The sequence below is a fragment of the Homo sapiens genome, chromosome X, assembly GCF_000001405.40.
Source record: "Homo sapiens chromosome X, GRCh38.p14 Primary Assembly".
Classification (NCBI taxonomy): Eukaryota; Metazoa; Chordata; class Mammalia; order Primates; family Hominidae; genus Homo; species Homo sapiens.
In genome coordinates this window covers 71,118,596-71,142,519 of record NC_000023.11, presented here as the reverse complement: position 1 = coordinate 71,142,519, position 23,924 = coordinate 71,118,596, and the positions used below count along the sequence as shown (strand labels likewise).

General features: G+C 51.1%; 1 protein-coding gene across 7 annotated transcripts, besides 1 other annotated feature; it reads right to left on the bottom strand.

Annotated features, from left to right (window-relative positions):
- MED12 (mediator complex subunit 12) lies at positions 70-23,924 on the bottom strand. Of its 7 annotated transcripts, none has more exons than XM_047442703.1 (45): positions 23,667-23,924; positions 23,043-23,147; positions 22,643-22,834; positions 22,350-22,506; positions 21,368-21,549; positions 21,083-21,193; positions 20,704-20,958; positions 20,174-20,320; positions 19,913-20,012; positions 19,646-19,782; positions 19,294-19,425; positions 18,800-18,926; positions 18,132-18,361; positions 17,676-17,756; positions 17,374-17,544; positions 17,025-17,169; positions 16,807-16,857; positions 16,366-16,484; positions 16,036-16,179; positions 15,388-15,551; positions 15,053-15,184; positions 14,400-14,627; positions 14,080-14,224; positions 13,802-13,922; positions 13,305-13,406; positions 13,091-13,204; positions 12,665-12,840; positions 12,306-12,485; positions 10,899-10,970; positions 10,314-10,447; positions 9,982-10,143; positions 9,564-9,675; positions 9,308-9,397; positions 8,054-8,163; positions 7,672-7,807; positions 7,267-7,428; positions 5,865-6,239; positions 5,491-5,641; positions 5,128-5,333; positions 4,885-4,962; positions 4,740-4,794; positions 4,577-4,664; positions 1,150-1,885; positions 556-637; positions 70-345 (listed from the first exon to the last, which is right to left on the bottom strand). In XM_047442703.1, the coding sequence occupies exons 1-43, from the start codon at positions 23,763-23,765 to the stop codon at positions 1,552-1,554; spliced, it is 6,312 nt and encodes a 2,103-aa protein (XP_047298659.1). In that variant the 5' UTR covers positions 23,766-23,924; the 3' UTR covers positions 70-345; positions 556-637; positions 1,150-1,551. The 7 variants fall into 7 exon arrangements, with proteins under 7 accessions (XP_047298659.1, NP_005111.2, XP_047298660.1 ...); NM_005120.3 differs by having other exon boundaries at positions 1,150-1,290; positions 1,663-1,885; positions 4,577-4,794; positions 5,137-5,333; XM_047442704.1 differs by having other exon boundaries at positions 5,137-5,333.
- Positions 18,771-19,970: an enhancer, noted in NCBI's record as "BRD4-independent group 4 enhancer chrX:70342400-70343599 (GRCh37/hg19 assembly coordinates)". NCBI's record gives its function as "activates an origin of replication core promoter dependent on BRD2, P300/CBP, MED14 and CDK7 cofactors, and independent of BRD4, by STARR-seq in HCT116 cells {active_cell/tissue: HCT116}" and the evidence as "EXISTENCE:reporter gene assay evidence [ECO:0000049][PMID:35650434]".

Sequence of the window (23,924 nt, the reverse complement as noted above, 5' to 3'; positions counted from 1 at the left end):
TGTTGGTCCAACCCCCTGCATTCTCCCAAGAGACCACCCTTCCCAGACATGCAGAACTCGCACACTCCCTTTGCAAAGAAGCTCTGTGTATTGGGTGCAACAGCTCTGGGGTCTCTATATAAATAATATACAAAACCCAACAGCTCAATGCCTCACATTAACAAAAATACTAAAAACTTATTAAAAATGGAGCCTGAGGGGAGGGCCCCAACCACTACTGGTGCTAGCCCAGGAATGGGATTGGGAATTAAGAGGAAAGGGTGGGGCCACATCCAGTGCACAAGCAGTTCCTCCAGGTGGCTCAGTAGCGTCCAAATATGTTGGTACTGGGCTGTGGCTGGGTATCTGTGAAAAACCAGAGATTATCAGGGATGGAAGACCAGGCAGGGGTGTGGGTATGCACGAGGAAAGCTGTTCAGGTATCGAGGGAAGGGGATGGAATGGAATGCCTCCTCTCATAACCTGGGCCTGAAGCTATCGTTTCAGCTACTTTGGCCCACCCCGCCCCCTAAATTTATTCCATGGGGTTCTCCTTGGGAAGGCAGGCAGGCTTACTAGAGAGCTGTTGTTGAAGTTGCCGGACCAAAGCTGCTGTCTGTTGCTGCTGCTGGGTCTGCTGAAGCCCCTGGCGCTGGAACTGGGTGGAAATAGGAAGTGGAAGACTGAAGTCGAACTTTTCTCCTTCTTCAACCTCCTTTCCCAATCCGTTTTTTTTTTTGAGATGGAGTCTCGCTCTGTCCCCCAGGCTGGAGTGCAGTGGCATGATCTTGGCTCACTGCAACCTCTGCCTCCCAAGTTCAAGCAATTCTCTGCCTCAGCCTCTTGAGTAGCTGAGATAACAGGCACCTGCCACCATGCCCGGCTTATTTATTATTATTATTTTTTGTATTTTTAGTAGAGACGGGGTTTCACCATCTTGGCCAGGCTGGTCTTGAACTCCTGACCTCAAGTGATCCACCTGCCTTGGCCTCCCAAAGTGCTGGGATTACAGGCGTGAGCCACTGCGCCTGGCCTCCCAATCCATTTTTAGGGTGCCATGCCCTGCCTCCCACCTCTACCCTATTCCATACTGTCCCCAACCCAGTTCACTGGCTGCGTGCCCAACCTGGGCAGCTGTCCCTGAGCCTGGGGCTGTAGTCCAGCAGCTACCTGGGGCTGGGACTGGGGCTGGGGTTGGGGAGGAGCCGCCTGTTGCTGCTGTTGCTGCTGGTGTTGCTGTTGTTGCTGTTGCTGCTGCTGCTGTTGCTGTTGCTGCTGCTGCTGCTGCTGCTGTTGCTGTTGCTGCTGCTGCTATAAGAACACAAAAGATACTTCAGAAGGAGCAGAGGGAGGAAGCTAAGCCTCAGAACTAAAGGGCTGAGGGCAGGGGATGAGGAAGCAGGGTGGGAGCTCGGGGTCTACTGCCTTCCCTTTTTAGACAGCTGCACAGAAAGAAACCAAATCTAGGGTACCCAGCAGACAATGTCCAACTCTCTCCCACTATGATCCCCAGAAAACAAAAAGGGGGAGGGTAGAAAACTTCTCCAGCACCACTAGAGGCCAGCCGCTCTGCTAGGTGTTTTGGTACACTGCCTTGTTTAGTCTCGGTAACTGTGTGGGAAGAACTTGTGCCTCTCTTCCTCCCTGGGCTCCCAGGTCCCAGATGAAATCCCAGTGCCTTACCCGCAGGATCTGCTGCTGCTGCTGCTGCCGGATGTGGTACTGCTGCTGCTGCTGCTGCTGTTGCTGTTGCTGCTGCTGCTGCTGTTGCTGTTGCTGCTGTTGCTGCTGCTGCTGCTGCTCAGGTAGGATGGCTGTTGAACGGACGCCTGCCTGGACGCCCTGGGCACTCATTGGAGTCATGGTACTTATCATGGGTGTCTGCTGCAGTGTCTGGTGTGAAAACCTCCAAAGATAAGAGGGTCAGAGGTCAAGGCATGAGGGAGGTGAGGAGAGGGGGTCAGTATAAACCTTGGGTCCCTGACCTGAAAGAAACGTTAGCAGGTTATTTCATTCATTCCTCGTGTCACTAACCAGACTTCCAGTCTGGGGAATAAGTTGCATAAGATGATACTCTATTTTAGTGTCTCATAACCTTAATGGTTAGGAATTTTTCAATTCTGCATTAGCTATTTTTCTGTTACAAAAATGAAAAATAGGGCTGGGTGCGGTGGCTCACACCTGTAATCCCAGCACTTTGGGAGGCTAAGGTGGGTGGATCACTTGAGGTCAGGAGTTCTAGACCAGCCTGGCAACATGGTGAAACCCCATCTCTAGCAAAAATACAAAAAAAAATAGCTGAGCGTGGTAGTGGATGCCTGTAATCCCAGCTACTCAGGAGGCTGAGGCAGGAGAATTGCTTGAACCTGGGAGGTGGAAGTTGCAGTGAGCCAAGATTGCACCACTGCACTCCAGCCTGGATGACAGAGCGAGACTCCATCTCAAAAAAAAAAAAAAAAAGAAAGAAAAGAAAAGAAAAAAATAGTCTTAGCACAAGATAGGCATTCTATAAACACTCATTGAGGTTTTTTGCTGTTGCTGTTGTTGTTCCCAAATAACATTTCAAGTTGTTCTACCACATGTGTATATCACTTCAAGAGTCTACTGGCCAGGCTCCCCGTCTCAAGTCTTCTTTTTTTTTTGAGACAGAGTCTCACTCTGTTGCCCAGGCTGGAGTGCAATGATGCGATCTCGGCTCACTGCAACCTCCACCTCTCAGGTTCAAGTGATTCTCTTGCCTCAGCCCCCCAAGTAGCTGGGATTACAGGCACATGCCACCACACCCAGATAATTTTTGTATTTTTAGTAGAGACGGGATTTCACCATGTTGACCAGGCTGGTCTCGAACTCCTGATCTTAGGTGATCTGCCTGCCTGGGCCTCCCAAAGTACTGGGATTACAGGCATGAGCCACCGTGCCTGGCCTGAAGTCTTCTTCTTGCACCTTCCAGTACACATCCTATCCATTCATTCCAAGGAACCTTGCAACATACCCAACTCCTCCTATCACTCTTCTGATCAAAAGAGCCCTTTCTGGGACTGCGTCTCAATTCTTCGGCTGAGCATTCAAGGCCATCTCTCAGCCTGCCCCCTCCTAGCCTAGCCCCAGTGACTTCCCCAGCACAGATTTTACACTCCATCCAGGCCCTTCTCCCCAGGCACCATCCTCATTCTGGTCCCCATGTCTTTGTTCACGTTACATCCTCTACCTGGAATGCCCTTTCTTTTCCTCTTCTCCACAAATCCCAATCACAGCTATTCTTCAGAGGCCAACTCAAGTCTGACCTCCTTCATGAAACATTCTCTGATGAGTCAGGCCCACAGATATTACCACGTACTTTTTCTCAATCCACATTTTACCTCATAGCATACAACTGCATACCTGATTATATCTTTGCTCAGAGTGTTCTCTCAATATTCTTCTATAAGTCTCATCTCCCCAGCTATAGTAAAGATTCTTTGTAGTGAGGAACTATGTATCGTGGGGGTTTTTTTTGCTATCTTTCTTCACCTCACCCAGTCCTGGTATAGTGCTGGCCACACAATGGGCAGTTAGCCCACTCCCCAGTGTTCTTAATCCTAAGCTTCAGAGTCTCTATACATGGTTACAAGGCCTCAACTAAGGCTTGACTAACGTTAACCATGGTGGGAGGATTCATTCATTTGTCCATCCTGGTATTTAACCTGGTATTCAAAGCCGGTACTGGCTTTACGACTCCTTATCATGTAGTTCATCTATGAACTCCAGATATTTTTTTCTTTTTCTTTTCTTTCTTCTTTTTTTTTTGAGACAGGGTCTCACTCTGTCACCACTGGAGTGCTGTGGCACAATCTCGGCTCATTGTGCGATTACAGCTCACTGCAGCCTCAAACTCCCAAGCTCAAGCAATCTTCCCACCTCAGCCTCCTGAGTAGCTGGGACTACAGGCATGCACCAACACGCCTGTCTAATTAAAAAAAAATTTTTTTTTGGCCAGGTGTGGTGGCTCAGTTCAAGACCAGCCTGGGCAACATGGCGAAACCCCATCTCAACTAAAAATCCAAAAAATTAGCTGGGCGTGGTGGTGTGTGCCTGTAGTTCTAGCTACTTGGGAGGCTGAGGTAGGAGGATCACCTGAGCCTCAGAGGTCGAGGCTGCAGTGAGCCATGATCATGCCACGACACTCCAGCCTGGGCAAATGGAGTGCGACTCTGTTTCAAAAAAATATGTATTTTTTTTGTAGAGATGGGATCTCCCTATGTTGCCCAGGCTGGCCTCGAATTCCTGGAATCAACTGATTCTCCCACCTTGGGCCCCCAAGTGCTGGGACTACCAGTGTGAGCTACCACACCCAGCCCAGATTTTTCCTTGAGTCAGATAAACAATTTCCCCTCTCTGGGCCTCAAAGAACTGTTAAGGAAGTAGTCATGAAACTATTGGTCTCCAGGGTCCCTTCCAGCTCGAGACTTCTGTGGTTATGGGCTATGTGGCCAGATAAGTATTCTTGATGTCTCCGAAAGTTCTGACCAGTCCCACCACTTTCAGGCACAGGCTTTCCCAAGTCAAATGCTCCCTTATACCTCTGCATCTCTTCCTAGCTCACCACTACTTTGGGTACCTTTGAGTGGAGGTCAGTCCATGTCCATAGGTGGGGGCCTGCTGGTGCACATAGCCACTGGGCCGCTGTTGCAGGTGGCGGGTAGGATCTACAAGAGTAGGATTGGTAGAAGGGTGGGTGCTCTGGTAAGGCTGGCTGGAGTAGCTGGGGGGCACCATGGTACCTGCAGGGCCTGTGTGTTGCTGCAATCCCACATGAGAAACATAAGGAGTATAGCCCTGGAGGGAAGAAGGAGAGAGGGAATCAGGGCCGAGAGTATGCAGAGCAGCTTGCCTCATCCCCCTAGTCTCACAATCCCAGGCTCTTACCTGGGAAGTCTGCAAACCGTAGGAAGAGCTGGGAGTCATCTGATGGACAGATGACTGTCCCAACATGCCCTGACTCTGCTAAAGGGAGAAAAGAGAACAACTCAAACTCAGGAAATGCTTGCTGCCATCTCATCTCTTGTGTCTCCCACCCTGAGTGTCCTTGTGAAGATCCCAAGTGTCTCCTCCGTCCTGTGACCCTCAAAAGCCCCTCTCCCTGACAGCCCTCCCTACTGCCCCTCTCACTATCTTTGCCTGGAGCTGTTGGCGAAGGCGCTGTCCTTGGGGCACCGCAGGTTGCTGCTGCCGGTACACAGAGGTCTTATAAGAGGAGGGTTCTAAACCCATGACGCCAGTCATGGTTGTGGGCAGCACTCCAGGGTAAGTTGGTCGGGTGGGCAGCTTCTGCATTGGTAAGCGCACAGGACGGTATGGGTCCACACGAGGGCCACCTGAAAAGGAGAGTGGGCTGACCTCTAGGCTCCTCATCCCTCTGTCTCTTGCTCAGTGTCCTTGACATCCATAGCTCCTCAGGGGAATGGCATCATCCTTTGGGCAGGGGGAGTGTACAGGTAGGTCCCTCCAGCATTCCTAGTGGCTGGCACTCACCTGCAGGTAGTGGCTGGTTCTGGGTGTACAGGCCTATGGAGCCTTGCCTGTAGTTAAGGTGTGTTATAGAACCAGGGTTTGGGTGGTGCAGGAGGTCCGGAGGCACTGTCACACCATAAGGGCCGCTCCGACCCGGGCCCATTCCATAGTCCTGTGTGAGTGGCAGAGGAAGAGGGTGAGTGGGTTGTAGCTGAATGGGGTCGGGGAGCTGGGGGAGAATGAGGTAAAGAGGAGCTGAATTCGTATATGGTTAATTTTTATTATGATTCTAATGGCACCCCTTCCTTATGCGCCCCCACCCCTCCCACAAACCAGAAACCGGAGCGTCATGAAGTGAGAGGCTGTGGGAGAACTGTCACGGGGGAGGCGCTCACCTCTGTCTTGGTAGCTGGCTGGCTGCGTTTCTTGCCCTTGGTGGACTTCTTCTTGCGTTCCTCAGTACTGGGTGGAGCAGCCCCCGGTTTGTCAGTTTTGGGGGGCTCTGGAGCCTTTTTCTCAGGCTCTAGCAGGGTAGGAGCAGGCGGCTCCTCATCTTCTGGGGGCAGTGGCAGTGGCTCCAGGTAATAGGCGCGGGGCCGGGGCCTCAGGTGTGTGTGGTAGAGCAGCAACCGCTGCTGCTCCTCTCCTCGAGCCACTCGCCGGTCCACTCGGACTGTTCCAAACCAGCCCCAAGAGAGTGGTGCTGACGGCTTCAACCCCTCAAAAAGATCCCAGGGCGAGATCTTCTGTTTGGTGGAAACCTGTAGACCCTGCTCCAGAAAATGAAAAACAATAAGCTGTTGGGACTTAGAAAACAGAAGACTGCAAGCATTTGTAGGAATGGGTAGAAAGAAAGTCATAGGCAGATTCAGGAGAGATGGTAAGAAGCAGACAGACAGACATGGATACACATATACATGCGGAAGAGAGTTATGCGGGGAGAGAGTGAAGGGTGGGGCACAGGGAGAGGTGTGGAGGCACAAGATGAAGCCAGCCCAGACCAGGAGAGGAGATGAACTAACGGGGCGGGGGGCGTGTGGGGAGAGAAGATCGGGAGAGAAAGGGGTTGGGGAGAAAGCCAGAGAGGGAGCGGGGAGGGAGAGGGATTGACATTCAGAGGAAGACAGAAAAAGGAAGGCAGAGAAAGAGAGAGAGGAAGGCAGGGAGAGACTCTGCCTTTAGGCAGGCCGAGAAAGAGTCAGAGAGAGAAAGAAACAGGAAGAGAGAGACAAAAAGGTGGAGAGACAAAGAAAGGCAAACGAGTCAGACAGGGAGAGAGACAGAGACGGAGGAAAAGAGACAGATGGACTAGGAAGACAGATGAAGAGAATGTATATATGAAGGAGTTAGACTTTGGGTTTTAAACTATACACAATAATTATGGTTACTCAACAAATACCGCAACTGACAGAGAGGGAAAAGATAAAAGTGTGCAGAGATGGGTGGGTGTAGGGAAACACAGAAATAAAAGAGATACAGGCTGTCGGCCAGATAGATGGGTGGGGTAGGACATGGGGCAGGTGGAGCAGAGGAAAGAGGAGGGTAGGGTATTGAAAAATGGGTGGTATGTTAAAAGGTGAGGGCAGGGTGAAGGAAAGAGGGTGGGACTTCAAAGATGGAGATGAAATGTAAGGAAAGTTAAGTGATTTGCTCAAAACCCCAGAGATGGTGTTCACCGGCAGAGACTGATGGGCTCCTGAATCTGATGAGTCTGTTGGAGCTACAAAGCTGATGCAGGCAAAGTTCTTGCCCAAAGGGGAAAAAAGGCAAGGGACACGGGCAGACAATGGAACATGCCTCCTTCTTGAAGATGGAATCGAAGCCAGCAATCTTGTTGCCCTTGGTATCGATAAGGGAGCCCTGTGGCTCACACGTGATGACATCTCGGGTCTGCTTGGGCAGTGGCAGCAGCTGGCGAACCTTTTCCAGACTGTCTGACTGGCGCTCCCCCAACTCCTTCTGCAGGCACAGGAAGATGGGACAAGAGTTCAGAGATACAGAAAACAGGGATGGGAAGTCTCAGGGGACAGCACAGAACCTGGCACAGAGAAGACCCCCACTCAGTAAATGCTCACGGCATGAGTAACAAAGAAAAGGCAGACGTGAGAAGGAAAGGTAGAGGGCTCCAGCCAGAAGCAAGTTCCTGAGGCTGGACAGCAGATTCCAGTAACCGCAAACCTTGCCCCCGCTTCCTCTGCTTACCTGCAACTTCTTCGCCAGGTTCATGTATGCACGCTTGTTTTCCTCCATGCTACCTTGCGAGATGCTAGACATGTCTGCAGCCAATGTCCCATTGATGAGCACGCTCAGCATGTCCAACACAGTAGTGAAGAGCTCACTGAGACAGGAAGCCAGAGAGAAAACCAAAGAAGAAAGAGGTGAAGATAGAAAAAGGCCTCAGCAGAGGACACAAGCAGGGAGAGGTGCTTAATATGTCATCCCAAGGGCACCAAAACTGTATGGGGAGCCCAGGGCCACGGAGTCCACAGTAACAGCCACACCAATCTCAGTGGGTGCACCTGGCATGGGAGTAGGGGGAGCTTCTTGGGTATGAAACTGCAGGGAGCGGGTGGGGATGCTTTACTTGTTGGACTGCATGTCGACAGTGCCGCTGATGATGATCTCCAGGAGGAGCATGGCCCACTCCGTGGTCTGCTGGGTGCTGCGCTGCACCGTGTCAAACATGCCCCCCACCTGCCAGGGCCACAACAAGTCAGTCAGATGGCTCAGGGACAAAGGCCAGAGTTTCAGGAAAGCTTAGTTCCAATCTGAGTTGGGACGCCTGAGTTCATGCTTGAGTTTTTTTTTTTTTTTTTTTTTGAGACGGAGTCTCGCTCTGTCACCCAGGCTAGAGTGCAGTGGCGCGACCTCGGCTTACTGCAAACTCCGCCTCCCGGGTTCACGCCATTCTCCTGCCTCAGCCTCCCGAGTAGCTGGGACTACAGGCGCCTGCCACCACGCCCAGCTAATTTTTTTTGTATTTTTAGTAGAGACGGGGTTTCATCGTGTTAACCAGGATGGTCTCGATCTCCTGACCTCGTGATCCGCCCACCTCGGCCTCCCAAAGTGCTGGGATTACAGGCGTGAGCCACCGCGCCCGGCCATGCTTGAGTTGAGCCTATGATTTGCTACATGATCTCAAGACAATGACGGAATTCTTGACGTCTCTAGGCCTCTGTTTCCATACTTAGAAAGTGATGGGAATTGGACAGAATGATTTCCAGGATTCCATTCAACATTCCACAGTGGGTTTCCAGTGCTTCTAGGGCCCAGTCAGAATCTAGGATACTGAGGCAGAGGCCCTGCAAGGATCCAGGGTACATAACCTATTGGACCATGACCACAGTGATCCAGCCCCCTTAACCACTTTCAGTCCCTGCATACTTTCAGAGAACAAGGTTAATACTTCAAGACTCAGGCTGGGCACGGTGGCTCATGCCTGTAATCCCAGCACTTTGGGAGGCCGAGACAGACGGATCATTTGAGGTAAGGAGTTCAAGACCAGCCTGACCAGCATGGTCAAACCCCATCTCTATGAAAAATACAAAAATTAGCCAGGTGTGGTGGTACACACCTGTAATCCCAGCTACTCAGGAGGTTGAGGCACGAGAATCACTTGAACCCAGGAGGTGGAGGTTGCAGTGAGCTGAGATGGCGCCACTGCACTCCAGCTTGGGTGACAGAGTGAGACTCTGACTCCAAAAAAAAAAAAAACCCTTCAAGACTCAGAATAACCTGGGGCCTCTATCCTTACCCCCATTCTCCCCAACCTGAGGCTTTTGCACTCCGCATTTCCAGCCCTACCCTCTTCCTTCTTCTCCCCAGCTGGCCTTCTCACCAGGTTGAGCCGCAGTTTGAGTGCCTCATGCATAAGCTGCTTTGGTTTGCAATCATCTAAGTACTGGTCATCTCGCCAATTATTCACAATCTAGAATAGAAACAAATAAAATATGCAGCTCAGGGATCTTCGTGTTTCCATCCCACAGCAGCCAATATGTTTATCAGAAAGTACTGAAGTTTCCAAGTACAGAGTAACCCCTTAGGTGCATCCTTCCCTGACCTCCTGCCCACCTCCATGGCCCAGAGATCTGTACCTGGTGCACCTGGCTGTAGAGGGAGGTAAGGAGTCCCTCGCGTTGTTCATCCTGCCCTTTCAGACATGTTAGCACCAGCGATAAGAAGGGCTGCTGGCTCAATAGGGACATGCTAGAGACAAGAGAAAGAAGAGAAGAGAAGAGAAGAGAAGAGAAGAGAAGAGAAGAGAAGAGAAGAGAAGAGAAGAGGAGAGAAGAGGAGAGGAGAAAAGGGAGACTGTGGGTTGGGAGTCAACTTCCAACCTCATTCTCCAGACTACTCTCTTAAGATCTAGCCTCTTGCTCAGCCATGCCCACTCTTATCCTCTGATTTTCCACTTTCCTATGATGCTTCTCCTTGGCCCATTTTATTCTTCCCCGGGCCTGCCTCTTCTCCTTTCTACCCCTCAATCTTGGTCCACTCCCTAAGCCCCTTTACCTCTTCTGCTTTTGTCGATCACGTTCTTTGCGTGAAGAGGAACCCAGGTGCTGACCCTTCTCCAATTCTTCCCCAGCAGCCTTTAACACATGTCCCTGGACTGAGGTGGGCAGTTTAGCAATGAGGGGGGCCACCAGCCATACACCAGAGCGCTCTAGAGAGCTGGAGAACAGACAGAGGACACAGGGTCACAGGGGAGCCAGGCAAGGCTGGAACAATCTATCCTCTCCTTTCCCTGATGGACATGCTGGCATCTCCACGCATCTGATATCACTCACGCTACCAGCAGATAAACTCCTAAGGGGATGGGTCCTAACATGTTTCTATCCGACCTGAGCACAGGCTTGGTCTTGCTGCTGCTGGGCATGTTGCTTGCAGTACTTCCAGAAGATGACCCTGTCTCTGCTGACTGTTGGAAAACCTCGATTGTGGCCTTGGCGATGTTCTCCAAGAGGGAGTTCATCTCCTGGGGAGGATGAAAGGCACAGAAGTGCTAAAATAGGTAGCTAAGGGTGAAGGAAAGCAGATGGTAGGAGAGATCGGAGATGACGGAGAAGGACAACACTGGCGGAGATTGATGGGGAGATAGGAACGCAACTCTGTTGGGAATCATGCCCTCTAGTACCTCCATATTTCTCCAATTCCTCACTGTCTTCTCCTTTACATACCTCCTTACATCTATGGCCAGAGAAACAGGCTCCACCACCACCACCAAGCTTCCCCACAGCTCAGAGCTCCAACACTCTCAACCCATTTCCCTTATCATCAGCTCCACTTGTTCACCATTTTCCCATCCCCTCTTATCTCTCAGCTCAAGAGCCCAAGGGTAGGATCTAGGTTCTTCTGTGGTGGACCGCCTCCCTGACACATGGAGCTGAACGTGAGCACAGGAAAGGGAGGGTCCAGGCACTACTCACATTGTTAGGGGTCTGCTTGATCATGAGCTGCAGCTCCAAGGAAGACTGGCGCATGGTCCACTGGTCCAAGTTCTGTGATAGAGGCCCCACACCCAGGCTAGTCATCATCGTGTTACCCCCAGCTACCCAACAATCTGAGGCCAATTCCTGATCTCCTGCAACATTGAATCACAGACTCCTGGAGGTCTGAAAGGGACCTCTATGTCCCCATCTTTAAGAAAGACTACATTTAGGGAGGCTGAGACAGGCGGATCACCTGAGGTCAGGAGTTCAAGACCAGCCTGGCCAACATGGCAAAACCCCATCTCTACTAAAAATACAAAAATTAGCTGGGCGTGGTGATGGGCGACCTGTAATCCCAGTTACTCAGGAGGCTGAGGCAGGAGAATTGTTTGAACTTGGGAGGCAGAGGTTGCAGTGAGCCGAGATCGCACCACTGTACTCCAGCCTGAGCGACAAGAGCGAGACTCCGTCTCAAAAAAAAAAAAAAAAAAAAGACTACATTTAAATAGTCCAAACTAGTTGAAAATCTTTCCAATTTTTAAAATAGTTCAGGAAAGATTTCACATCTTTCCCATCCCTTCGTATCAGGAAGTTCTGCTTAATGCTTAACCTTGAAACCCTTGATGTTAAAGTTGAAGCCTGCTTCTCTTGTTTTAGACCAGCTGCTCAAAGTCCCTGACAGAACCTTTATAAGACAATCTCTCAAAGTCCTGTAGAGACCAGAAGGCTACTGTTAGCTAATCTCTCTTCAACACTATCTCTTCTGGGCTGAAGAGACCTTATTCCTTTAGCTTTTCCTCAACGGCTTTATTTTTCCACTCTCTGGTCATCTGAAGGTGTGAAGCAATGTGAAGAGGAAAGTGCACAGACATGTCTGGGTTCACATATTGACTCTAAACTTATGGGCTATGTGACGTTAGACAAGTTACTTAACCTCTTCAAGCCTCAGTTTCCTCATCGGTCAAACAGGGAGGCTCACCTACTTCATAGGGTCATAAAGATTAAATGAGGAAATGTGTGCAGAGTGCCTAGCACAGTACCTGGCACAAAGCACATGCTCAGCAAGTAGTAGCTATTACTATTCAGTTCCTGAGCCATGGCCAAAATGCCAAATATACACGGCCCACACCTAGGCCTCCCAGATGCTATGCTTCCCATTGATAAGCTAGATTCACTCCAGATAGCTATGCCCTCACCTAATACTCTTACACTGGAGTCTAGACCCTACTGGACTTACTCCTCAGCCCATGCTGGAGCTGTTTCTCTCGCTACCTCTCCCCTCCCCTATATCCTTGTTTGTCTTCCTCTCTACTTAACTGCCCCTCTCCTTTTCTCAAGGTTCCTATTGTTTCTCCCCAGATTGGGCCCACTGCTTCCTCCACAGCCCCCACGGCCTTGGCCTACCTGGAGAATGCGCTTTATGCGCTGCCGCTGGGGGTTTTCCCCATCCTCATTGTCCAGCAGTCGATGTGGATAGCAAATGAGCTGCATGAGGCGCTGCGCCTGGGCACTACTCAACACTGGGTCTTGCAGGTCATTGCTGTCCTCACACAGAGACTTAAGGCAACGTTCTCCTACCCATTCCTGAGGAAGCTGACAATCAGGGACTGGGAACAACCAGTGAGGGGGTTAGGAATATGGGGGATGGGCTGGAGTTGTTAAGGAACACAATGTATAGTAGGGAGCTGGTGTGATCATGGGCTGGAAACAGAACTATATTACACAGAGGCATTTAGGAGGTGTGGGAGGAAGGTGAAACTGACCTGTTGGCAGATGCTGCGCAGCACGTACTTGGCATAGACATCCAGACTGGCTGTCTCCACAGAGATGTTGCGGCCACCCTGCCTCCGACCACCACTGCCACCTCCTCCCTCCTCCTCTGGAAGTTCTTCTGTTCCTCCTGTCACAGTGAAGCCTGAACCTTTCAGTTCCGCATCCCCTGTGGTTCACGGGTGGGAGATAGGGAGGGCAGAGTGAGATTGGAACACGTGTGGAGACCCACCCTGGGCCCACAGAGGTAGAAACACCCCAAATCCTGCCCTATGGGACAGAAATATACTTCTCTCCCTCCCCTCCTCCCCAAAGGTCAGAGAGACCACCTTCAGAAGGGAGAAAGACTGTCCCTTGTAGTTTAGCTGGCACTCCACCCTATACACACTTCTGGCACCACTCCCTTCCTACCCCCGTACCAAGTACAAACACAGCCTTGAGAACAGCAAACACGGCTCCATCCACGATGCGGTTCTGGGAGGCAGCCAGCAGGTGGCGGTCGCAGGAGGAGCGGATTCCTACTGTAGGCTTGTCTGGGGAAGGCGATGAAGTCAGGGGAAGCAAAAGTAGAATCCACGGAGGCAGGGGAACCACACTTTCTACTGTTGGCTGGTTCAGATCAGGGTCACTTACTTCCATCAGACTGGCAAGGATTGAGCTGCGGTGTCTTGAAAAGGTGAAGGAGGATGCGGCAGGTAAGCCGGGCCCCTGGCTCAGAGTCCTGTTCACTACAAGCTAAAAGGAAGACAAAACAGATCTGGAAGGGATGAAGTTAAACTGTATGTGGGTTTATGTGTGTGCGTGCCTGCATGCATGCAAGTGTATGGCAGGGGCATGGGAGAGAAGATGAGGTAAAGTGAAAGGAGAAAAAGCAAGATAATATTGAAAGCGAGGTAGAGCAGAGAACTGTTACGCAGTTGAAGGGTCAGAAATTGGAAAGGTCAGGGCTGCAAATCCAGGGCTAAAAAACAGGTTTCTTCTAGCCTTCAGCATACCAAAGGACTGGCCTTCTGAGGAAGGCCAGGGAGCCGCAGCAAGGTCTCCCACAGTGAACAATGAGAGGATGGCCGTCCAGTGTGTATTGAAATTTGAGGTCTAGAAATGCTAGGGGTTACAGATTGGTAGTTCACCAGCATTAAGGAGTGAAGGGATGGCAGCACAGCGAATCAGATCTTCCAGGAGCAAACACTGCCGAGCGATGAGGATGGCAACAAAAGTAGCCAGCGAGTCATGAAAAGATAGGTCACTGACCTGGAGGAAAAAACAGACAGACACCATGACTCAGTGTGGAGGCCCACTCAAAGCGGTGTGCCTCCACTCTACGGAACTCTGTCCCTGGTCAGAGGATCACAACCAGCCCCCTGCCCTGGTCACTGCCCCACTAGCAAAACCCCACCCCAAGTCTCACATCAACATTGCAGAGGAGATCGTTGAAACCACAAGTGCCATTGTTAGAGGAGCAGCACAAGGCCTTAAGCACTCCTAGCCATTCTGCACTCAGTGACTTGCAATAGCCGGTCAGCTCTGCACACAGGATTGCGATGTCATTCACCCTAGGGAAAAGTACAAATGCCCTCAGGAAAAACCTTGCTCCACAAAACCTCAGACCCATTAACTTCTCATCTCTGCCCCACTAAATAATCAAGGTTGTAGTACCTCCCGGGTACCTCAGCCCTCCCTATCTCAGATGGGGGCATGGTGCCCTTCCTCACTCAGTACACCCCATACCTATCGGGATCATGGTGCCCCACACAGACGTGCATAAGGGCATTGCAGACAAAGCTGTAGCGGTTAGCAGGGTTCTCACTAAGACTCTTGCCTAGCCCCGTGTAGGTGAAGGTGTGAGCTGCAGGGTTCTCTAGAGTGTCGATCATGAACTCAGGTGCCCAGCGCATATTTGATTCCGATGGCTCCACGTTGCAGTAGATGGTGTTCTTCACCTTTGAGCAAAAGTCGCTGCAGGGATGGAGGAAAGGAGATAGTAGTGTTGAAGAAGGCCTGCTGAGGTCGAGGGATGGTCAGGAAAGGGGAGAAAAGAAAAAAAGGAGAAAGTGAGGGATGAAGGATCTTGAGACAAGAAAAGGGAGATGGGACAAAACAGACTGGGCAGGAAAGGAACCACATGGGAATAAGGAACTGGGGCCTCTGAAGGCAGTGAGGAAAAGGGGGAAGAGGGTGGGCCCCACAGATATAGGCGGGGAGCAAGCCTGCTGAGGAAGAGGGCCCACTCTTGGTAACACAACAGTATGTGGAGGACACAGTCCACAAATGACCCTAGACAGGCAGCAGGGTCCCGGGCCATCCTCTCCTCCTGAGTTGGGTGGTCATGGGAAGAAGGGAGTAGGTCCCACTCGCTACCCCTTACCTTCCACCTCTCTTACCTGAAGAGCTCCCCAAATTTGTTCTTTAAATGGCTACAGGAGGTGTACAGATCATAGAGATAAGCAAGGATACAGCGCTCTGCAGAGGAGCCATCGGACCGGTTCATCCCATGCTTCACGACGCCACACAGCCTGCATGAAGAAGCAAGGTTGGGAGGGTCAGCAGATGGTATGCGGGCTCCTCCAAACAGATTCAAGCCTCTGGGAAATACCATTCTTTTCCCACCTGAGCAGCAGGTGCTTCCCCAGAGTGTGAGGAAGTGCATGCTCTTCCCAGGCCACTTCCACCGGCATTCGCCAGAGCTTTGTTTCAGTTATTCCGAAGCTCTGCTTACCCCTCAAAGACCTGTGCCATCTGGTCCTGGTTGAGGATGAGGCAGGCATGATAGTGCCGCAGGACAGCCACGATGCACAGGCACAGGCTAGTAGTGTAGCTGCCCACCAGATCCGAGGATTTGAGAAGCAGCTCAGCCTCAACTACACTCAGTTCATTCAGCAGCTAGCAGAGTAAACGGGGGTGAGAAATGCAAAGAGGCCCCTTGTGTTACATAGAAACCACCTTCCTGTGGGGACGCTGGCAAGGCTGGGCCTGAGCCCCTTCCTGCTGGAGCCACCACAGGATAGAAGGGCTCGTTACCCTATGCCACAGTCTATCAACAACACCTCTATTGATAGTTTATTGTTGATAGTTTATTCTATCAACAACACCTCTAACCAGTGTCCAGGATACAGTTCTATGAACTCCACAGTGGGAGGATGGTCTGTGCCCAATGCTCTAATCTGCCTCTTGGCCTCCCCAGGGAGCACTTAAGTCTCTATTCCTGCAGTCTTAGCTCATGTTCCACTCCCCCCATGCTAGTCTTTCTGCCCCTTCAAATAGCTTGGGAAACTGGCTGGAGCCTCTACGCCTGTCCTTATGACCCTCCGTAGCCGCTATATGGCATGAACTCCTGCCTCCACCCTCATCTCCCCAACTTCCCCACCTGAATGGCAAAGTCGATGAGGCCACTGATGCTGAGTGAATATTCCATGAGGTCGAAGATGAACTGCACATGCTGCACCAGAGGCAAGTGGTATGACATGCCAAGGGCAAAGCTCGTGATCTGCTCCAGAACATTCCGGGAGACCTGATAAGGGCAGTGGGAGTGAGATGGGAGTGGAGAGAGGAAAGAACCAGGGAAGGAGGAAAGGATGACACTGGAAGGGGATGAGACCAGGAGGCTTAGCCTGCCTAGCAGGGAGAAGATAGGGAAGAAAAGGAAAACAGAACAGGAGGCCAGAATGTGGGAAAGGGGCTGGGCTTAGGCCCACACCTGAGCCGTGACCTGGTGTTGGTCATAATGTGAAAGGTGCTGGAACTTAGCAAAGATATCTTCAGCAGTGGGGAAGGCTTCAGGCCGGTTGCGTCGCCGCTTCTGCCCATCCTCCCCACCTGAGGGGACAGTTGAAAGGGACCAGTCAAGACAGGGAAGATAACTAGTTGACTAGGGGTGGGGAGTGGGGTATGGAGAGAAGGCTATGGGAGGGAGGGAGGGAGAGATGGAAGGAGGGAGGGAGGGAAGGAAGGAAGAGGGAAACAGGGAAGGGAGGGTCAAGGAAGGGATGGGGGAGGAATGAAGGGAAGGGGACAGTGAAGCAAAGGTTTAGAGGACCACAGACTATGTGGACCTTAAAGGAATATGTACAGGGAGGTGCTAGGTTCAGGGAGGGAAGGGAGAGGGAGGGAGGGCAGTATGGGGCTTACTGTGAGGTACCTAAGAATGTCAGGTCTCCAGGATTCAGAGGCACAATAGGAGCAAGCTGGTCTGTAGAGGGGGGGAATGAGGGGGGAAGTTTCAAAAGGACTAGAGCTCTCAGGAGACTCCAAGAGACAGGACATTGGGACATGACTGGGGAGTTCCCTATACTGGGGAAGGGAAGACTGACTAGGGCATTCTTTGGGGGAGATCTGTTTAAGGAGCCTCAAACCCACCAGTTTCTGCTGTCCCTTTGCGGTTCAGAACCTTCAAGATATCCTTGGTGATTTTCTTGATGGCATGGCGGGCATCATCTCGCTGCTTTCCCACCCCAAACAGTACGACCAACCGCTGGTTGCACTCATGGCTGCATGACTCCTCCTGCATCCCAGCAGCACCATCAGACTCCAGCACCGATCTCCTTCCCTCCTCTTGAAAGCATGCTCCACACCCCTCAGCATCCACATGCTAAAGCCCTTCCCTTTCCCAACCCACATCCTCAGAACAGCTCCAACCCCTCAGCAAATTCCTTTGACAGCAATCTGGGTTCAAAACAGATCATCACAAGGTGCTGGGGAATAGTACCTGGGGGATGGGAAAATGGGTGGCGTACTGCACGTGTCGTGGCTGGTCGTAAAGAACCCCAAGGGTCCCTTCAATCTTCTCCTTGGGTGGGGGCTTCACCTCCTTCTCGACATCTGGCTTCTCAGGGGATGGACTGCCCTTCCCCTCACAGGGCATAGTAGGGGAGAACAACTGAGAGAAAGGTGAGAAAGCAGAACATGAGAAGAAGGAAAGTGGATGAGGGGGCAAAAAAACATGCCAAAAGCAGGCATAATGGGAAGATCCAAGGATCCAGATTCTGCCACGCTCAGGATTGAACTTACTGAGAAATCAGGCTTCTCCATGTCCTCAAAGAGAACACTGGAACTAGGGTCAATGTCCATAGATTCTGAGAGCCCTGGATCCTGAGGGCATAGAACATAAGCGAAGTTGCTTTAGCCCTAGGGAGTGGCTCCCACCATCTGTAAAACTTCATTGGGGAAGTGGAGAGAGAAGACCAGATTGGGGAAAGCACAGGATCTGGAGTCAAGCCTCATCCAATCACTTAACCAGTATAGGCCTCTGTTTTCTTCAGTTTGAAAATGGGGATAAGAGTACCTCACAAGGCTGATGGGAGGAACCAATGAAACAATTGATGTGAGAGTGCTTGGTCAATCACCAAGTGCTAAGAAAAATACTACCCCCCTCCCCCAGGCAAAAGAGGCTCTTAGAGGCCCCTGGGAGCCATGAAGATGGAAATGTCAGAAGAAACGATCTAGTGCAAGGAAAAGCCCACTCACTTCCAGCTTGCTGCTGCTGCTGCCTTCAGCCTCCTTGTGCTCTGGGTCATCGGCAGGATCATCAAAGGGAGAGGGAGGCCGGGGACCAGGGGCTCCAAAGGCAAGGTCCCCTCGGGAGATGAGAGTGCAAGTATACATGTTGTGGGAGAAAACATCATGTCGAATCAGTTCACAGAACAGCAGTACTAAGTTAAAGAATTCCACCCGCTCACTCTCACTTCGAGGGTCCGCTGGAGGAAGGGAATGAGGAAACATAAGTTAGGAGAACACAAAAAGGTGGGCCAAAAGAGAGAGGGACACACCTAAGGCAATAATAAGAGTGATCAAATAGAAATCCCAGAAATTGTTGAGGGACAAAGTGTGGTTGGTTACCCCACATGCTGTCCCACACATCATCTCAGAAAGGAATGTAACATCTTTGTTGCGATTTATGCAGTGAAAATGCTTCAATCACAAGCTCTTGTTTTTATCCTTCTCTGTATTTCTCTACTCTGTTTAACTGTAAGATGACCAGTTAAAGAGGATCACTAGAACTACATCTAAAAGTCATTCTGCATAGAGCCCAAGAGAGAAATATAGACCAGAGGGCTGTTAATTATGCTTTCTGATGACAGTGGTGGGTAACTGAGTCTAGGCAGAGGTAACTAGAGAGTGGTAGGGGTCCGTACTCAGCATGGGAGCCTGTGTATCCAGAAACTGCAGGAGGACATCCTGGAAAATGGGAGCACTGGGAGCAGAAAGGGAGCCAGAGGCGATGGAACCCTTCTCATCTGCGGCTTCTGATTCTCCACAACGCTGCAAGATGACAGAACAAATTGTAGAACTGACTTTTACCTGCTTCTTCACTCCTCAATGTGTAGGCCTTAAACTACCACCTGCTTGACCTCTACCCCATGCTTTTCACTTTCATTCCCCTGCTGACCTCCATGTTCTTTACCACCTCCCAACTGAAGCCTTGATGTTATCTCTAACTCTTACTACAATCCACTCTTCTCTACTTTCGCCTCACGTCCGTAACTTTGCCTTTAGGTTCTCTTTTGCTTCTTTACTCTGTTCTCACACCTTCAACTCTGGTCCCTCCACCACCTCCATCTCTCGGTCTCCAACCGCAGTAAATTCCTTCCCATTGGCCAATCTTGTTCTCTTATCTCTGCCCTCTAACCTCAGCCTCAATCTCCGCCTGTCTCTTCTCCAGGAGCTTGGCTACCACCATAGCACGATGCCGACCAGAACGCTTGCAGCTGACAGCCCATTCACATAGCAATGACACCACAGCATCATCATCTGAGGAGATCTGGAGAACAAAGGAAGAGAAGGAGGAGTAAGGTAGGGGTGGGGACAAAGAAATGAGTTCCAATTTCCTAAAGACTGGGCTCTATCATAAAACATCCTGGGCCCAGTAAGATCATTTCTGCAGATATGCTCTGCTTTCAATGCCTCACCATGACTTCCCTCTCAGACATATTATTGCTCTTGCAATGTTTTTTGCTCCTTCTATTCCCCTTTTCGCTTACCTCATGCCCATCCTTGCTAGGTCCCAATCCAAAGATTCGGTTACAAAGGGAGTCAAGAGAGTTGCTGAAGTCAGAGCGTTCAAAACTATGGCTGTCCAGCACTTCCAAAGTATGAAGTACCCGTCCAATGGTGAAGCCTAAGGAGGAAAAGTGGTAAAGGGGACTGAACCAGAGGCCCGGTGCATTCTGGCTCTTAGATCTACATGTCCTTACTATCCCCATCCTTTCCTCAAACATATTTCCTATTATCTGTTCTCTGACACATACCTGCAGTAGCTTCCTGGCATTTATCGAAAGACCAGCGAACTTCAACTGCCTGTCCCCGCTCCTTGATCTGCTGCTCGATCTCCCGCAACTTTGCACGGACCTGCAATGTTAAAAAGGAAGGCTACAAGGATGTACCAAGGCATATAAAAGGCCAGAGCCCCAGGCTAGAAGAATAGTACTAGACTCCAAATCACTACTTCTGAAAGAGTAATTTAGCCTCATAGCCCAATCTGAGAGTACCAGGCTAGTGGTCAGACATACCTGCTGAGTGAAGGCACTGTTACCCTCTGGCATGGGCAGGTTGGACGGGGCAATAGGCAAGTGGTCAAGTGGTGAGCCGGTCTTAATTCTGCTATCAGTCAGTGAGTAGTGCCAAACCAAGGCACTAGGACAGCACAGGAGGATGGTCTACCAGATAGAAACAGCTAAGTCCAACTCATTCACCATGGTTACCCCTCTGGAATCCCATTCTAAGACCCAACCCGTAGATTCCAGATCCAAAGTTATTCTGACTGGGTCCCCAAGACAGGCATCACTCCACCCCGATCCCCTCCCTTCACTCACTTTCCTAAAAGGCTTTGGGCCCACTATTTAGCCTTGGAAGGGAGAGAGAGGCTGGTGAAAACCCCCAAAGGGGACTAACACCCCATTACCAAGAAACAACAACCTCCAAGCAAGTACTCAGCACCTACTCCCACATCCAATTTGGAATTACCCCTATTCTCTGGGATGGGCACCTGATTCTTCTCAGGCTATCTCTCAATGCTTCCTTGGGCCCGCCTAGTACCTACCTGTAGGATACAGCTGAGGCCAAAAACCAGGGGCCGGTGCTGAGGGCACATAAGCAGGTCACTAAAGGGAGTCGAGGGTGTGCTGCTAGTTGGGGGCTGAGGAGCAGGGGTGGTGGGTAGCGTGCTTGTTGACTGAGCAGATATAACATGAGATGAGTGACTGCTCACACCATCCAGCTGCAGGGCCAGTCTCCGTGTACAGAAGTAGGCAAGCCGGCGGGACAGGTATGCAGACTGAACAAATTCCCCAGAGTACTGTGAAGACACGACCATCAGAGCCCCTAGTTCTCTCCAGGGGACCCTGCTCTAACATTTTATTCTTCCTCAAATTCTTCTTAGACTCCCCCTGCCCCACCAGTACCAAAATTCCAAGCCTTACTCGGAGAAGCAGAGGCAGCAGCAGTTTAAGCAATTCATCCTCTCCAGGGCGGATCTTCTCAAAACACTCAAGCACCCAGGTCAGGAACTCATGTCTGTCCAGCATTCCATCCTATGGGTACCAGGGGAGGGAAGAGGGGACTATTAGAGATGAAGCAGATAAAGTAAATGAAAAGATGAAGAGAACCACAACTGGGGCAAGGTGGCAGGCAGATTCTGTTCTCTACTGGCAGAGTACAAGTTCAAGCTCAACCCAATGCCCCACACAGCATGCCCTACTCTCTACCTGAAACATGAACATGGCCAGCTTCTCGGTGTAATCCCACTGCCGGATTGCCACCTCTACATCATGGGGCAAGGGCCCTATCGTGGAACCACAGCCCCCACTTCCTGCAGGCCCTGGCCGGTAGTATTCAGCCATCTTCTGTAACTGCTCCCATAAGTACTTGGTGATGATCTGAGTCCATTCTGGAGGAAAGAGGGAAAAAGGGCTATTTGATACTATCCTTCTGCTTAGAATATCCTTCTACTGGCTGGGTGCGGTGGCTCATGCCTGTAATCCCAGCACTTTGGGAGGCTGAGGCAGGTGGATCACGAGGTCAGGAGTTCGAGACCAGCCTGGCCAAGATGGTGAAACCCCGTCTCTAGAAAAATACAAAAATTAGCCGGGCGCAGTGGTGGGCGCCTGTAATCCCAGCTACTCGGGAGGCTGAGACAGGAGAATCACTTTAACCCGGGAGGTGGAGGTTGCAGTAAGCCAAGATCCTGCCACTGCACTCTAGCCTGGGTGACAGAGTCTTGCTCTGTCTCAAAAAAAAAAAAATCCTTCTACTTAGAATACCTTACCCCCACCCCTAATCACCATATTTGTAAATTCAGTTCATCCTTTTAGTCTCTAGTCAAATCCCACCTTCCTAAAGCCTTTCCGGGTACCCCCATAAGAAAGTAATCTTTTGTCCACTCAAAGAACCTTCTGCTCCTAGCTTGACATTCACCACTTTCTATATTTAATTATGTTATTTGTACATATACCTTAGCAGCCCTGTTAGACTACTAGTATCCTAGGGGCAGAGATTATGCACCGGACATCTTTGTAGCCCAGTATATGCGCACAGTAGACACTCAAATTTCTCAGTGTTTACTGATCAAACAAATGCAAGAAACAAGCAGAAACAAGGAATCTAGATTAAGAAGGAGGATGGTTCCAAGGGTGTCTCTATCACTCCTTGAAGCCATCAGCAGTACACCTGGTGTTAGGAGTTACTCACCCATGAAAGGGTCAACATGTCTCTTCTTAACCTTGGTCTCAGAGATTGCTGCATAGTAGGCACAGGTCATCTTAATGAGCCAGGCAGCCCGCATCACAGGCACTGTGTATTTGGCTAAGTACCCAAACACCTCTTCCTTCTTACTGAAAATGGGGACCTGGATGGACATTGCAAATAGTGAGGTCTCTATTATCCCCATGAGCTGACACCCATGTAGCTTAATATGGGAATAGGAGGGTACTTGGTACCCCATGCTCCCTCCTTGGCCTGAAGGACAGGAAACAGTACCTTACCTTTTTGGCTAGTTGCGTGAGTGGCTTGGTGCCAGCCAAGTCAGTGAACCAAGTGTTAATGGCACTCTGGGATCGTGCAGTCACCAGCCAGAAGTTATCCTTCTGGTTCACTTGGGGCTTCCTGCGACCAGTGTCAGGAAGGGTATTACAACGTAATTTCTCTGCAATAATGCTGCTGAAGTTGGAACTGATCTGAGGGAAGAAAAGTGTACCTCAGGGTGGGAAGAAGGGGCAGACAGGTGGTCCTGCCTTTTGCTGGGCAAATGCCAATGAGATAGTATTAGGTCATGAAGGCAAACTCAGCCACTTAGGTTGTCCCTATAAGTCTTCCCAACCCAGGGCCTTTGCTCCTTCTTAGATTCTTCCAGCCTTTTCCTTCAGCCTGGCAGAGTTGTCTCACCTTGGCAGGATTGAAGCTGACGTTCTTGGCACTGCCATGCTCATCCCCAGAGACAGCAGGCTGGTTATTGAAACCTTGTTTTACATTCAAGGCCGTCAGTTCATCCTGAGGCAGGAAAGCGGCGTTTAGTTGTTTTTTCCTTAGGGGAAGGGGGAAGGGGTGGGAGAGTAGGGCAGGAGAAAAGAAGGAACAAGGTGAAAGGGCAGGAGGAGGGTTCCGTGTAGAACAGATCGTTACTTAAAGCTGGGCCCTTACGTTCACTTGGACCCCACCCTCACTCCCATGGTCACTAGGATTCCCAGCCACCCAGCGCGCCCTCAAACATCACTCTTCTCTTGCGAACAGCCGAGCAGCCGTACCCCACCAAGCTGTCTCAGACAACTTTCTGAGGTGTGTGTGGAGGAGGGCGCCTCTGGTGCGGCCCCTACACCACCCCCTATTCATACCTTGGAACCCCCCACCGCCCCCCGTCCTGCCCTCCCACGCCAGCCCACTTTACTCTTCCCCCTTTCGGGACTTTTGCTCTCACCGAACCGCCCCGCCCCCCATTCCCAGCCGTCAGTGCCTCCTCCTAGGCTGACCGCGTGCCCCCGGCCCCTCCAGAGCCCCGATTTTCGAACGCACCTCCTTCTGTTTGGGGTCCTGAGGGTAAACATCGGGAGGCCCCAGCCGCGGCCGCTTCAGGGGCCGGTGTTCGTAGCTCAAGATCCCGAAGGCCGCCATCTTGCCCAGCCCGTAGCGCCGGAGGCACCAGCAGGGCCAGGCTGACTGGGGGAACGGGAAGGGGGAGAGGGAGCCGAAAAGGGGGGCGGTGGTTGAGAGGACGGCGGCCGAGAGACAACAAGGGGGCACGTTAGAAACTCTCGACCATTGCCGGAAACT

Coding starts and splice junctions, on each gene's coding strand:
- MED12 (NM_005120.3), bottom strand. CDS start 23,765: ATGGCGGCCTTCGGGATCTTGAGCTACGAACACCGGCCCCTGAAGCGG. Junction 5,642..5,864: donor AGCCAGCTACCAAGACAGAG/GTGAGCGCCTCC, acceptor CCACTCACACAG/GACTATGGAATGGGCCCGGG. Junction 1,886..4,576: donor GGACTGACCTCCACTCAAAG/GTACCCAAAGTA, acceptor TTATCTTTGGAG/GTTTTCACACCAGACACTGC.